Source organism: Homo sapiens, chromosome 9 (genome assembly GCF_000001405.40).
Source record: "Homo sapiens chromosome 9, GRCh38.p14 Primary Assembly".
Taxonomy (NCBI): Eukaryota; Metazoa; Chordata; class Mammalia; order Primates; family Hominidae; genus Homo; species Homo sapiens.
In genome coordinates, this window is record NC_000009.12 from 83,606,731 (window position 1) to 83,621,983 (window position 15,253).

The following is a 15,253-nucleotide window of genomic DNA, read 5'->3' on the forward strand; positions in this document are numbered from 1 at the left end:
CAAATTGGTAAAGTGGAAGTCACATTGTCACTGTTTGCTGATGACATGATCACATACCCAGAAAACCCTAAAGACTCATCCAAAAAGCCCCTGGGTACATGAATTCAGCAAAGTTTCAGGATACAAAATTAATGTACACAAATTAGTAGCCCTGATATACACCAACAGTGACCAAGCTGAGAATCAAATCAAGAACTCAACCCCTTTTACAATAGCTGCAAAAAAATAAAATAAAATACTTAGAAATATACTTAACCAAGAAAGTGAAAGACCTCTGCAGAGAAAACTACAAAACACTGCTGAAAGAAATCATAGATGACACAAACAAATGGAAACACATCCCATGTTCCTCGATGAGGAGAATCAATTACAAAAAATGACCATACTGCCAAAAGCAATCTATAAATTCAATGCAATTCCCATCAAAATACCACCATCATTCTTCACAGAACTAGAAAAAAAAATCCCAAAATTCATATGGAACCAAAAAAGAGCCTGAATAGCCAAAGCAAGACTAAGCAAAAAGAACAAATCTGGAGGTATCATATTCCCCTACTTCAGACTATACTATAAGGCCATAGTCACCAAAACAGCATGGTACTGGTATAAAAACAGGCATACAGACCAATGGAACAGAATAGAGAACCCAGAAATAAAGCCACATACTTACAGTCAAGTGATCCTCTACAAAGCAAACAAAAACATGAAGTGGGGAAAGGACATCCTAATCCACAAATGGTGCTGGGATAATTGGCAAACCACATGTAGAAGAATTAAACTGGATCCTTATCTCTCATCTTATACAAAAATCCACTCAAGATGGATAAAAGACTTAAATCTAAGACCTGAAACTATAAAGATTCTAGAAGATAACATTGGAAAAAAACGCTTCTAGACATTGACTTAGGCAAAGACTTTGTTATGGTTTGGCTGTCTCCCCACTCAAATCTCATCTTGAATTCTATCTCCCAGAATTCCCACGTGTTGCAGGAGGGACCCAGAGGGAGGTAATTGAATCATGGGGGCCAATCTTTCTCATGCTATTCTCGTGATAGTGAATAAGTCTCATGAAATCTGATGGGTTTATCAGGGGTTTCCCCTTTTGCTTCTTCCTCTTTTTCTCTTGCTGCTGCCATGTAAGAAGTGCCTTTTGCCTCCTGCCATGATTCTGAGGCCTCCCCAGCCATGTGGAACTGTACGTCCAATTAAACCTCTTTTTCTTCCCAGTCTTAGGTATGTCTTTATCAGCAGTGTGGATACAGACTAATACAATGAATTGCTACCAGTAGAGTGGGGCATTGCTGAGAAGATACCTGAAAATGTGGAAGCGACTTTGGAACTGGGTAACAGGCAGAGGTTGAAACAGTTTGGAGGGCTCAGAAGACAGGAAAATGTGGAAAAGTTTGAAACCTCCTAGAGACTTGTTAAATGGCTTTGACAAAACTGCTGATAGTGATATGAACAATAAAGTCCAGGCTGAAGTGGTCTCAGATGGAGATGAGGAACTTGTTGGGAACTGGAGCAAAGGTGACTCTTGTTATGTTTTAGCAAAGAGACTGGCGGCATTTTGCCCCTGCCCTAAAGATCTGTGGAACTTTGAACTTGAGAGAGATGATTTAGGGTATCTGGCAGAAGAAATTTCTAAGCAGAAAAGCATTCAAGAGGTGACTTGGGTACTGTTAAAAAGCATTCCGGGCCAGGCGCGGTGGCTCACGCCTGTAATCCCAGCACTTTGGGAGGCCAAGGCGGGCGGATCATGAGGTCAGGAGTTCGAGACCAGCCTGGCCAACATAGTGAAACCCCGTCTCTACTAAAAATACAAAAATTAGCCAGGCATGGTGGCACACACCTGTGGTCCCAGCTACTCGGGAGGCTGAGGTGGGAGAATTGCTTGAACCTGGGAGGCAGCGGAGTTTGCAGTGAGCAGAGACTGCGTGCCACTGCACTCCAGCCTGGGTGACAGAGTGAGACTCCGTCTCAAAAAGAAAAAACACTCCATTTTAAAAAGGAAACAGATCATAAAAGTTAGAAAAATTTGCAGCCTGATGATGCAGTAGAAAGAAAAACCCATTTTTTGAGGAGAAATTCAAGACAGCAGCAGAAATTTGCATAAGTAGCAAGGAGCCTAATGTTAATCCCCAAGACCACTGGGAAAATGTCTCCAGGCCACGTCAGAGAACTTCACGGCAGCCCCTCCCATAAGAGCCCAAAGGCCCAGGAGGTAAAGGTGGTTTTGTGGGCTGGGCCCAGGGTCCCCATGCTGTGTGCAGCCTAGAGACTTGCGTGTCCCAGGCCGCTCCAACCATGGCTGAAAGAGGCCAAAGTACAGTGAAGTAATTCAGGAATGGAAAACCAAACACTGTATGTTCTCACTCATAAGTGGGAGCTAAGCTATAAGCTATGAGGATGCAAAGGCATAAGAATGATACAATCGGCCAGGCACAGTGGCTCACGCCTGTAATCCCAGCACTTTGGGAGGCCAAGGTGGGTGGATCCCCTGTAGTCAGGAGTTCGAGACCAGCCTTGCCAACATGGTGAAACTCCGTCTCTACTAAAAATACAAAAATTAGCCAGGCTTGGTGGTGGCCACTTTTAATCCCAGCTACTCGGGAGGCTGAGATAGGAGAATCACTTGAACCCGGGAGGCAGAGGTTGCAGTGACCTGAGATTACAACATTGCACTCCAGCCTGGGTGACAAGAGTGAAATTCCATCCCCAAAAAAAAAAAAGAATGATACAATGGACTTTGGGGACTCTGGGGAAAGGGTGGGAGGGGGGTGAAGGATAAAAAGACTACACATTGGGTACAGTGTACACTGCTCAGGTGAAGGGTGCACCAGAATCTCAGAAATCACCACTAAAGAATTTATCCGTGTAACCAAACACAAACTGTTTCCCCAAAAACCTACTGAAATTTAAAACACACACACACACACCTGGCAGCTGGGGGGAAGAAAGTACCCCATTTTTCAAGATGAAAAAGTTCTAGAGCTCTGAGCTCTGTTGCATAACAATGTGAATACACTTAACACTACTCAACTGTCCACTCAAAAATGGTTAAGGTGGTAAATTTTGTTTTGTGGGGGTTTTTTGTATAAATTTAGGGGGTACAAGTGCCATTTTGTTACATGAAATATTGCACAGTGGTGAGGTCTGGACTTTTAGTATAACCATCACCTGAATTGTGTATTATACCCAATAAGTAATTTCTCATCCCTCAGCCCCTCCCACTCTCCCACCCTTCTGAGTCTTCAATGTCTATTATTCCACACTTTATGTCCATATCTACACATTAGTTAGCTCCCACTTATAAGTAAGAACATATGGTATTTGACAGTTTTCTGGGGCTTTTTTTTTTACTACAACTAATAATGTTTTTTAAAAGGAGGATTTACTCCATTATAAATTCTGTCTGTGGTAGCCAGCCTCCAAGACAACACCCCCAATAATTCCTACTTCCTGACATTCACACCCTTGTATAATTCCCTCCCATATTGTTCCAGAAGTGACTGTGACACAAGATTAGGTTATAAAAGGTTGTGGCTTTCATCTTGGTTCTCTATCTCTGTCTCTGTCTCTCTCTCATAACTCACTCTGGAGGAAGCCAACTACCATGTTGTGAAGCCACTCAGGCAACCAATGGAGAAACAGATGTAGCGAGCAGCTGAGGTCTCCAGCCAACAGCCAGCAAGAAACTGAGGCCTCCAACAATATGTGAGTGAGCATAGAAGCAGCACCTTCCCCAGCTGAGCTTCCAGATGAGTCTGCAGCCCTACTGACAGCTTCACTGCCAGTCCAGATTCCTGGCCCTCAGAAACTGTACTATAATAAATGTTTGCTGTTTTAAGCTGCTACGTTTTGGGGTAATTTGTAATGTGGCAATAGGTAACTACAACCCTATGTGATGATCATTGATATTTATAATGACCCAGGGCACTTAAATATTCTGACATATTTTCTTTTTATATATATATAAAGAGAGAAAGACAAGGTTTTCCTATGTTGCCTGGATTGGTCTCGAAATCCTAGCCTCAAGCAGTCCTTCTGCCTTGTCCTCCCAAAGTGCTGTGATTACAGGCATGAGCTCTGTGCCCGGGTCTGACATGTTTTCTGAATCTTCAATAAAAGATGCAACTACAGAAAGTTTTCTAATATCACTGAAGACTTAGTATACTCAAATTCCCGGTGTGACAATAGGTGTGACTCTCAGTCTACAAGGAAATTTGATTGAGTTGAAATCCACATCCCCCTATGCTTCAGGCTAAGTCTACAAGGAAATTTGATTGAGTTGAAATCCACATCCCCCTACCCTTCAAGCTAACTAAGAATTTATTACAGAGAAGAAAAAAAAGAGTGTGAGATCAAGGCCAAATAATAAGCAACTTAGCCATTTTCTTTTATTTAAGAAATTGACCTTAAAAGAAATTTAGAAAATGTATATCACATGAGCAAAAGTTTTGAAAGGCTGGCATAGTTGGATTGACCCAAGAATAGCCAACTAACTTTTCTTCAAGAGAATAAAGAATAAAGAGGAAGCTATTTTTATAAGAGTAATGCAGCATAACTGTGTCTTCCACTCAAAGAAAATTTTGAGAAGCTTAATTATCTGGGGAATTTGTACTTGTAAAAATTATCATCATTACTGTATAGATGAAAGAATGAGAGAAAGTGTACTTGAAGCGCATTAGAAAAGAAGATAATAGGTAATGCATGTCATCATTTAAAGTGTTGCCTGAATCAACTGGCCACTGTTAGAGGAGATAAGGACATACTCTGTCAAAGACATACTAAAGGGCATTTTTATTTTGTTTTGTTTTAAAGTGGACTTAATTTTTTTTAATAAAATGTAACTCTTATTTAGTGGCAAGTATTCACATACTAACACCTGTGAAGGAGTATTATGCAATGTCATTGGTGTCCGAGATAGTTATCAGCAAGTGCAATGTCAGCAGAAACACTAGCGGCCAGTTAGGGAATAAATCAAGCTGGAGGAGAGGAAGGTCGAGATCAATTTAGATTTCTAGCATACCAGACATTATTCATTCCTGCTTTGCCTGCAGGGGACACTTTCCTGGGTCGCTCACTGCTGCCGGCACCCGTAAATTAGGCAGGGAAGATCCCAGTTAAGTGTGTGTGTGATACATTACACACAAAGAAGTATATAAAATCTACATGTACAGCTTGAAATAAAAGAATAGATAAACATCTGTGTAATCAATATCTAGGCTAAGAAATAGAACATTACCAGTTCACTAGAGGACATTTGGTGCCTCTTCCAAGAGCTTTCGTTTTGAATTTTAGGTTAATCATTCTTTTCTTCTCTGCATAGTTTTAGTGTGTGTGTGTGTGTGTGTGTGTGTGTGTGTGTGTCTTTTAACTACAAATGTATTGCTTAATTTTCTTGTTTTTAAATTTTCTGTAATTGAGGATCATACGGATTGTATTCTTACAATCAGCAATATGGCTTTGATATGCTTTTGTAGCTGTAGTTTACTCATTTTATTTGTTGTACAGGGCTCCCTTGTTTGAATATGACATGACTTATAAAACCACTTCACCACTGATAGATATTCAGATTATTTCCAATTCGAGAGTATTGTGAACAAGACTTCTTGCACATTTGCGTACGTGTTTCCTGGTGTATAAACCTAGGAAGGGAATTGCAGAATTGTATTTGATTGCAGTTTTTAGATATATAGACCTAGGAAGGGAATTGCAGAATTGTATTTGATTGCAGTTTTTAGATATATAGACCAAAGGAACAGACCAGAGAACTCAGAAATAACACCACACATCTACAACCATCTAATCTTCAACAGACCTGACAAAAGCAAGCAACGGGGAAAGGATTTCCTATTTAATAAATGGCTGGGAAAACTGACTAGCCCATATGCAGAAAACTGAAACTGGACCCCTTCCTTACAACTTACACAAAAATTAACTCAAGATGGCTTAAAGACTTAAATGTAAGACCTAAAACCATAAAAACCCTAGAAGAAAACCTAGGCATTACCATTCAGGACATAGGCATGGACAAAGACTTCATGATTAAAACACCAAAAGCAATGGCAACAAAAGCCAAAATTGACAAATGAGATCTAATTATACTAAAGAGCTTCTGCACAGCAAAAGAAACTGTCATCAGAGTGAACAGGCAACCTACAGAATGGGAGAAAAATTTTGCAATCTATCCATCTGACAAAGGGCTAATATCCAGAATCTACAAAGAACATAAACAAATTTACAAGAGAAAAACAAACAATCTCATCAAAAAGTGGGCAAAGGATATGAACAGACGCTTCTCCAAAGAAGACATTTATGCAGCCAACAGACATATGAAAAAATGCTCGTCATCACTGGTCATCAGAGAAATGCAAATCAAAGCCACAATGCAATACCATCTCATGCCAGTTAGAATGGCGATCATTAAAAAGTTAGGAAACAACAGATGCTGGAGAGGATGTGGAGAAATAGGAACGCTTTTACACTGTTGGTGGGAGTGTAAATTAGTTCAACCATTGTGGAAGACAGTGTGGCGATTCCTCAAGGATCTAGAACTAGAAATACCATTTGACCCAGCAATCCCATTACTGGGTATATACCCAAAGGATTATAAATTATGCCACTATAAAGACACATGCACACGTATCTTTATTGCAGCACTATTTACAATAGCAAAGACTTGGAACCAACCCAAATGCCCATCAGTGATAGACGGGATTAAGAAAATGTGGCACATATACACCATGGAATACTATGCAGCCATAAAAAAGAATGAGTTCATGTCTTTGCAGGGACATGGATGAAGCTGGAAACCATCATCCTCAGCAAACTAACACAAGAACAGAAAACCAAACACTGTATGTTCCCACTCACAAGTGGAAGTTGAACAGTGAGAACACATGGACACAGGGAAGGGAACATCACACACTGGGGCCTGTTGGGCGGAGTGGGGGGCAAGCAGAGGGAGAGCATTAAGACAAATACCTAATGCATGCGAGGCTTAAAACCTAGATGACCGGTTGATAGGTGCAACAAACCACCATGGCACATGTATACCTATGTAACAAACCTGCGCATTCAGTACCTGTATTCCAGAACTTAAAGTAAAATTTTAAAAAGTAATTAATTTTAAAAAAAAGTAATGGCACTAACCTAATAGGATATGTGCATATTCAGTTTTACTCTATCAGGCGAAACTGTTTTTTCCAGAGCAGTGATAACAGTTTACATTTCCTTCAGCAGAGGACGAGTGTCTTCAAGCTTCACACCCCAGCCAGCATTTGGTACTGTTCCACTTTGTATTTTTCCAGTTTGCTTCGTATGTACATGGTACCTCATAATTTTATTTTGGTGGTTTGTTTTTTGTTTTTTGTTTTTGAGACAGGGTCTCACTCTGTAGCCCAGGCTGGAGTGCAGTGGTAGGATCACAGCTCACTGCAGCGTCGACTTCCTGGGCTCAAGCACTCCCTACAACCTCAGCACCTCCCCACCCCCATCCAGTAGCTGGGACTACAGGCGCAAGCCACCATGCCTGGCCTTTATAATTTTAATTGCATTTCTCTAATTACTAATAAGGTTAAGATTAAACATTTTTTCCTATGTTTATGGACCACTTGTGTTTCCTCTCCTATTAAATTCTTGTTTGTGTATTTTCTTTTTTTTTTCTATTGGGTTTTCTGTCTCTTTAATATTGATTTTAGGAGACCTCCTAATAGTCTCGATACCAATCCTGCACGGGGGAAAAAAAAAAAAGCTCTAGGCTCATTCTGTGACTTTTCATTTCATGCTATACATGGCAAGGTCTTAAAAAATGTGTATCCATCTTTTCTTTATGGATTTTGCCTTCTGCATCTTGTTTAAAAAATTCTTAGGCCAGGCGTGCTGGCTCATGCCTGTAATCCCAGCACTTTGGGAGGCAGAGGTGGGTGGATCACCTGAGGTCAGGAGTTCGAGACCAGCCTAGCAAACATAGCAAAACCCTGTCTCTACTAAAAGTACAAAAATTAGCCGGGCATGGTGGTACACCCCTGTAATCCCAGCTACTCAGGAGGCTGAGGCAGGAGAATAGCTTGAACCTGGGGGGCGGAGGTTGCAGTGAGCTGAGATCACACCATTGCACTCCAGCCTGGGCGACAAAAGTAAGACTCCGTCTCAAAAAAAAAAAAAAATCTTCACTGTCCTATACTCACCTATAAGGTCTAAGGTCTAATGTTTTAATTTTTCTTTCACAGCTAAGCCTTTAATCTACCTGGACTTGTGTAAGATATGGGCAGTGTGATTGACAGAGTGCACAGATGTCTGCAATTATTTCCTTCGCTGTATCCATGTCCCTTTGTAATGTTACTTTTCAGTTTTTACCATCAAGAGACAGAGCCTACTTTCCCAACTCTTGAAAGTGCTGCTGTGCTAGTTTCAAGTCTGGACCTCAAAAGGCCTATACAATTACGCCTGATGTCTTAGAACCCTTCCTCCACCACAAGAATAAGCCCAGACTAACCTGCAGGAAGATGAGAAACCATGTGAAGCCGAAACAAGACGTCCTGGGTGAAGCCATCTCAGGCCAGTCAGCCCCTAGCTGACCCAACAGCTGACCACAGATGCATGAATGAACCCAGTCAGGGCCAGAAGAACCAGCCAGGAGCTCAATCAAAATTGTTGACCCATAGAAAGAAGACCTAAATAAATGCTCGTTGTTTTAAATCTCTGCCTTTTGGAGAGATTTGTTATGCATCAAAATGCTAACAGATATAGGTAGAAATCCATTTCATATTTTTCCACATGGATAATCACCTGTGCCTGTATCATTTATTTATGAATCCATCCTTCCTCATTAATCTGCAATGCCACTTCTCTCAAATAGCAAATATCAATATGTGGAAGGGTCTGTGGGCTTTCTCTTCTGTTCCATTGGTTTGTAAGTCTATCCTTAGGCCAACGCTACACTGTGTGGTTTACTATACTTTTATAATAAAGTGTATTTATTTATTTATTCTTTTTTTAAAGACAGGGTCTCACTCTGTCACCCAGACTGGAGCACTGTGGCATGATCATAGATGACTGTAACCTTGATCCTGGGCTCAAGAGATCCTTCCACCTCAACCTCCCAAGTAACTAGGACTACGGGCACGCACCACCACCTCCACCTATTTTTTTTTTTCTTATTTTATAGAGATGGAGTCTCACTATGTTGCACAAGCTGGTCTCGAACTCCTGGACTCGAGAGATCCTCCAGCCTCAGCATCTCAAAGTGCTGGGATTACAGGCATGAGCCACCATGCCTGGCTTATAATAAAATTTAATATCTGGTAGAAACATTCCTTCCATCTTGTTCTTCTTCCTCAATAGTTATCTCTTCCTATCCCTTTGCATTTTTATATAAATTTTGAATTAAGCTTCTGAATATTCATGAAATATCTTATTGGAATTTTGATTGAAAATGCATTGAATTGTTAAATCAATTTTGAGAAAACCGACATCTTTACAATATTGAATCTACTATTAAAGAACATGGCATACCATTTATTTGGTCTTTGATGCCTCTAAAATTTCTAGAATTTTCTTCATCAAGATCTTGCATACCTTTGCTGGACTTACTTCTAATTCATTTTCAGTAATATTGTAAATAGTATCTTTTTATAAATTTCACTTTCATTGCTGTTGCCCTACAGACCTGCTATTATCTTTTAACAACTTTAAAATTCACAGACCATAAAATTTACCCAAAATATACAATATAATGATTTTAGTATTTTCACAGAGTTATGCAATCATTACCATAACCAATTTTGGAAGTTTTCATCACTCCAAAAAGAAACTTCATATCCATTGTCATTTCCTCCCCATTTTCTCCCAACAGCCACCCTTTCTTTCCTGACAACTACTAATCTACTTCTATCTCTACAGATTTGGCTATTCTGGACATATCAGTTAAATGGGATCATAGAATATATGATGCTGGCTGGGCGTGGTGGCTCATGCCTGTAATCCCAGCACTTTGGGAGGCCAAGGAGAGTGGATCACTGGAGGCCAGGAGTTTAAGATCTGCCTGGCCAACATGGTGAAACCCCATCTCTACTAAAAATATAAAAACTTAGCCTGGCATGGTGGTACACGCCTGGAATCCCAGGTACTCAGGAGGCTGAAGCAGGAGAACCGCTTGAATGTGGGAAGTGGAGGCTGCAGTGAGCTGAGATCGCACCACTGCACTCCAGCCTGAGTGACAGAGACTGTCTCAAAAAAAAAAAAAGAAGTAATAATCAGTTATCATTCATACTGATTTGTCAGCCTTCTTTTGGTGAAGTCTCTCGCTTTTTATTTTCAAGAATTTCAAGGGTCTGAGTAAAACTGGCCCCTAACCCTCAAGAACTAGATGGGGATAGATAAAAAAGTTTTTTATATAGTCAAGCTTTGTGAGTGTTACTGGTCACTGACTCTCCTCTTATGAGGTCCCTCTCTTACATAAGCAATATGATTAAAACTGATGAAATATTTGTGTACATTATATTCAAAGAGGAGGAGCAGTTGCAGCATATTTTGTATTTTGTAGGCTTTTATTTTATTTTGTATTTTTTGTTCCTAATGCTTAGTTTTCTCAAGCTTTTTACTAAATGACATTTTGAGTTGATCTGAGAGTTTAATCTTTATTTCTAGATGTCAGGATTTCAGTGGTTCTTTTAAAAATAATCAGCTCTACTGCTTACTCTGATTAATTATTTTCCCTAGGCCTCAGGATCATTCAGCTCAGCAAACAAATACCGCTGGAAGCAATGTTACTACATCATCAACTCCTGATAGTAACTCCATATCTGGTTCTGCTACTGGCAACCCTTTTGGTTTAGGTGTCTTTAGTCATTCCAATAGAAATGCAAAAAAATACCCCTTTCTGTTTCTGGGTAGTTTCAGATAAAATGAGAAAATAAAACTTTATGTCACTTTAACAACAAAAATCTTAAAAACTAATTTATATAGTCCTACAATTGTAGATATTAAGGAAGTGGTTGGGGATATGGATGTCCTGGGTTACCTTACATTTAATAAGTGGTCAATAATTGGCACATTTCTTTTTAATAATGAAAAAGATGCAGTGTATGTATACCTGATCTGACTACCACATAATTTAGCATGAGTAAGATTAGTTAATTGTTCATCATAAGCCAGCACTTCTGAGTAATAATTTTCTCATTTGTAAAATGAAGGGATGGGACTGCATTAGTTATTTTTGTAACTATCCTGAATACATGGAAGGGCTGGGGCCTGGGAAGCCAGCCCAGCCTAAAACTGCTTTTACTTTTCTTATAGTCGTTTTTTTGTTTGTTTTTTGTTTTGTTTTGGTTTGGTTTGGTTTTTGTTTTTTAGTTTTTTGGTTTTCTTTAAGAGAGGCAGGATCTTGCTCAGTCACTGAGGCCAGAGTGCAGTGGTGCCATGATAGCTCACTGCAACCTCAAACTCCTGACTTATGGGATCCTGTTGCCTTGGCGTCCCAACCTACAGCATCTATAATGCTGAGGTTACAGATGTGAGCCACTGCGCTTGGCCTATATTAGATTTATATATTGAGGTTCTGTGGAAGATTTTGTTGAGGATGAAAGCACTCTGAAGCTTAACAGAAGTTGAAGTAGATAGATAAATGGCTTAATGCTTCTTTTGATTCTTGTATGACTAGTATAGCACCCTGAAATGGCATATTTATGCACAGTTTTTACATATCAATGATCATGCCTTTTATCTCTTCCATAAGATTAATTCAGTTGTGCCATGCCAAATGTATGTTAGAGGCATTTAAGGTATGGCATGGCTTGACATAGGTTCACATTCACTGTTAGTTTTGTTTTAAATGTTTCCTGTCCTTATTTTCCAAAAAGATCTTGTGTTAAGTCTTTTGATTGAGGAAGGTGTGTTTTAGTTGTCAAAAATTATTCATATGAACAATCTAGAGAAATTAGGATGAAATGATTTAATGTTCAGACCTATGAAAGGTATTGTTGAGGTAATTCTCTCCTGTCTTCCTTCATGTTATAGGCAGAGATCTTGAATCAGAAAGAGGCTTTTAGTTATTTTGTCAGAGGCTACGCAACCCCCATATCCCTTCATTTCTAGTCTCATTCCCACATCCTCCTTCTATCTCTGCAGCTTTTCTCCATCAATTAATTCATCAATTAATCTAACTTCAAAGATCATACTTTTCCTACTCTGTTAAAGGCCCTGATAATCCATTAAACAAATGATTGACAAGAAGTGAATCAAGTCCAGGCACAGTGGCTCATGCCTGTAATCCCAGTACTTTGGGAGGCCGAGGTGGGCAGATCATTTGAGGTCAGGAGTTTGAGACCAGCCTGGCCAACATGGTGAAACCCCAGCTCTACTGAAAATACAAAAATTAGCCAGGCGTGGTGGCGCATGCCTGTAATCGCAGCTACTCAGGAGGCTGAGGTGGCAGGATCACTTGAACCTGGGAGGCGGAGGTTGCAGTGAAGAGATTGTGCCACTCACTCTGGCGTGGGTGACAGAGTGAGACCCTGTCTGCCTCAGAAAAATAATGATAATAATTTAATAAATAAATAAAATTTATTTTTATACATGTGTAAATCCAGTTGTTGTAGCACCATTTGTTGAAAAGACAGTTCTTTCCTCATTGAGTTGTCTTGTCACCCTTGTTGAAAATCAATTTCCCATAAACTTATGGATTTATTCCTGGACTCCCAGTTATATTCCATTGGTCTGTACATCTATCCTTATGTCAGTACCAAATTGACTTTATGAGTATATAAGTGAAGTAAGTTTTTTAAATGGGAGATGTGAATACTCCAACTTTTCCCTTTTTCAAGATTTTTCTATCTCCTTCAAATTTCCATATGAACTTCAGAATCAGCTTCTCAGTTTCTGCAAAGGAGCCAGCTGGGATTTTCATGAGGATTGTGTTGAATCTGTATAATTTGGAGGGTGTTGCCATCTCAAAAATATTGTCTTCCAAATCATGAAAACAGGCTGTCTTTCCATTTATTTAGGCCTCCTTTAATTTCTTTCAAAAATGTTTTGTCGTTTTCAGACTACCATTTTATACTTCTGTTAAATTTCTAATTATTTTGTTCTCTTTGATGCTCTTGTAAATGAAAATTTTTTTAATTTTTTCCTTGCAGATTGTTTAGAATTACAATTGATTTTATACACTGATCTTGTAACCTGTCACTTTCCTGATCTCACTTATTAACTCTAGTAGGTTTATTGTGGATTCCTTAGGTTTTCTATAAACAAGATCATGTGATCTGGAAATAGAGATAGTTTTACATATTCTTTTCCAATCTGGATGCCTTTTATTTCTTTTTCTTATCCAATTGCCCTGGCTAGAACCTCTAACAGAATGTAGAATAGAAGCGGTGAGAGAAGACATTCTTGCCTTGTTCCTGATCATAGGGAGAAACATTCAGTCTTTTCACCATTAAGTATGATGTTACCTGGGGTTTCACAGATACTTTTTATCTAGTTGGGAATTTTGTATTCCTGGTTTGTTGAGTATTTTGATCACAAAGGGAAGTTGAATTCTGTGAAGTGCTTTTGTTTTACATCTATTGAGATAACAGATACCATTTTGCCTTTCTGCAAACTTTGTTCTGGATCTTTAGAGTGGCCACTTTTAATTATGAAGATGTGAAGCAAGTATACAGCCATTACTTCCAGAAGAAAGTGTAACAAGCTACTTGGCTAAGACCTGGGATTTGACTTTTAAGCTCTTTCATGCATCTATTTGAACTCTCAGAATTAAACTGGGATCAAGGACTCTCCTGGAAGGGAAAGGGGGAAGATCCAAACTCTTCTCAATTAGACATATCAGAGCTGTGAGGCTCCTGGTATGTGAATATCTGTCCCAACCCAGCCATCTTTGTGGATGATTTGCCTCCCAGGGAAGTGCCTGTGCGCATTAAGGTGCTCGTCACTGAGCTCTGTTTAACCGCTGTGGAAATGGTCAGCTTCATACAGGAGCGCTGCCATTTCTGTTTGAGACTTACAGTACATGCTGTCCAGAATCTGGGGGTGATCTGGACTTGAGTGACTATAGAAACGCATGCAAGAAGCTGTGCCTCGCTAGGGACTCGGGGTTTCCAGAGTACCATGTGCCTCAGTACAACAGTTCTTGCAGTAGACAGGACCTAAAACCAGACCAATATTCAGCATCTGGGTTGCCCCATAGTAACAGCTGGGAAGCACCGAGACAACCAGGACCAGCAGGTGGCACTCTTTGGAAAGCAAAAAAAAAAACGTGGAATTCAGCTCTTAGGGGCACCTTTGAAGTTCCGCTGTCCTGGAAGCAGGCACAGAGTTTCACTGACACTGGCATGCTGGGTATCTTTCATTGGTACCTCCAGATACAATCTCCACCCTTCTCTTCCCTGCTCTGAGCCCAGGAAATTGGCATGCATGGGCACCGCCGGACTCCCTAGCTCTCCACCTTCCAATTGGGTTTGGCTGGTGGGGTTTGGCCACGAGCAGGAGATCACAGGGCAAGAGGAGGGGAGGGGAGGTTATTTATTCTCCTGATTATTTTTCTGCTGGGTCAACAAGGAATGTCTATCTCTCTCTTCCTAAGGCTACAGTCCTGTCAGACACTTCTTTCTATATGGTCTATTCTCTCTGTCTCTCTCCTTCCATTCTCTTCCCTTCCCATATAAAGGCTCCCTCTCATCAGCCCCTTTCTATTTAAGAGTGAAAACACTTCTCGGTTACTCAGATGTGGACTCTGCCCCTAGTTGCTTTTTCTGACCCTACCCACACCTGTGCTAATAGTCCCTTTGTTAAATCCTGTTCACCTGCCCCAATTTGAGCATGCTGTTTCCTGCCACCACCCTGAGCAGCACAGCAAGTTTAAGATCCTTGGACATGTCTGGGGAAAGAAATCCAAGGAGAAGAATCAGATTTTCTGCTAATCATTCTGATTTGAACATTGAAAGAAATATGAGCTTTTTTTTTTCATACTGAGCTAGCGAAGCAGGGCACGAGTTAAGAGTATTTGCATACACATCTATTCCTCTTATCAAGCTTGAGAATGCCTAGAGGGTAATCTTTTAAATGAATATTAATATGATATTAACCAGCACATGGTAGATGTTCAAGAAATGTGTATTGACCATAACTGAATTGTAAGACCTCTCTCCAAGCCTCAATTTCTTCACCTGTACAGCCCCCATCCAGATTGAAATCTCACCTACTCGGGCTAAGTATATGAAAAACAAAGGCAGTGCAGGGGTAATTGAACTAT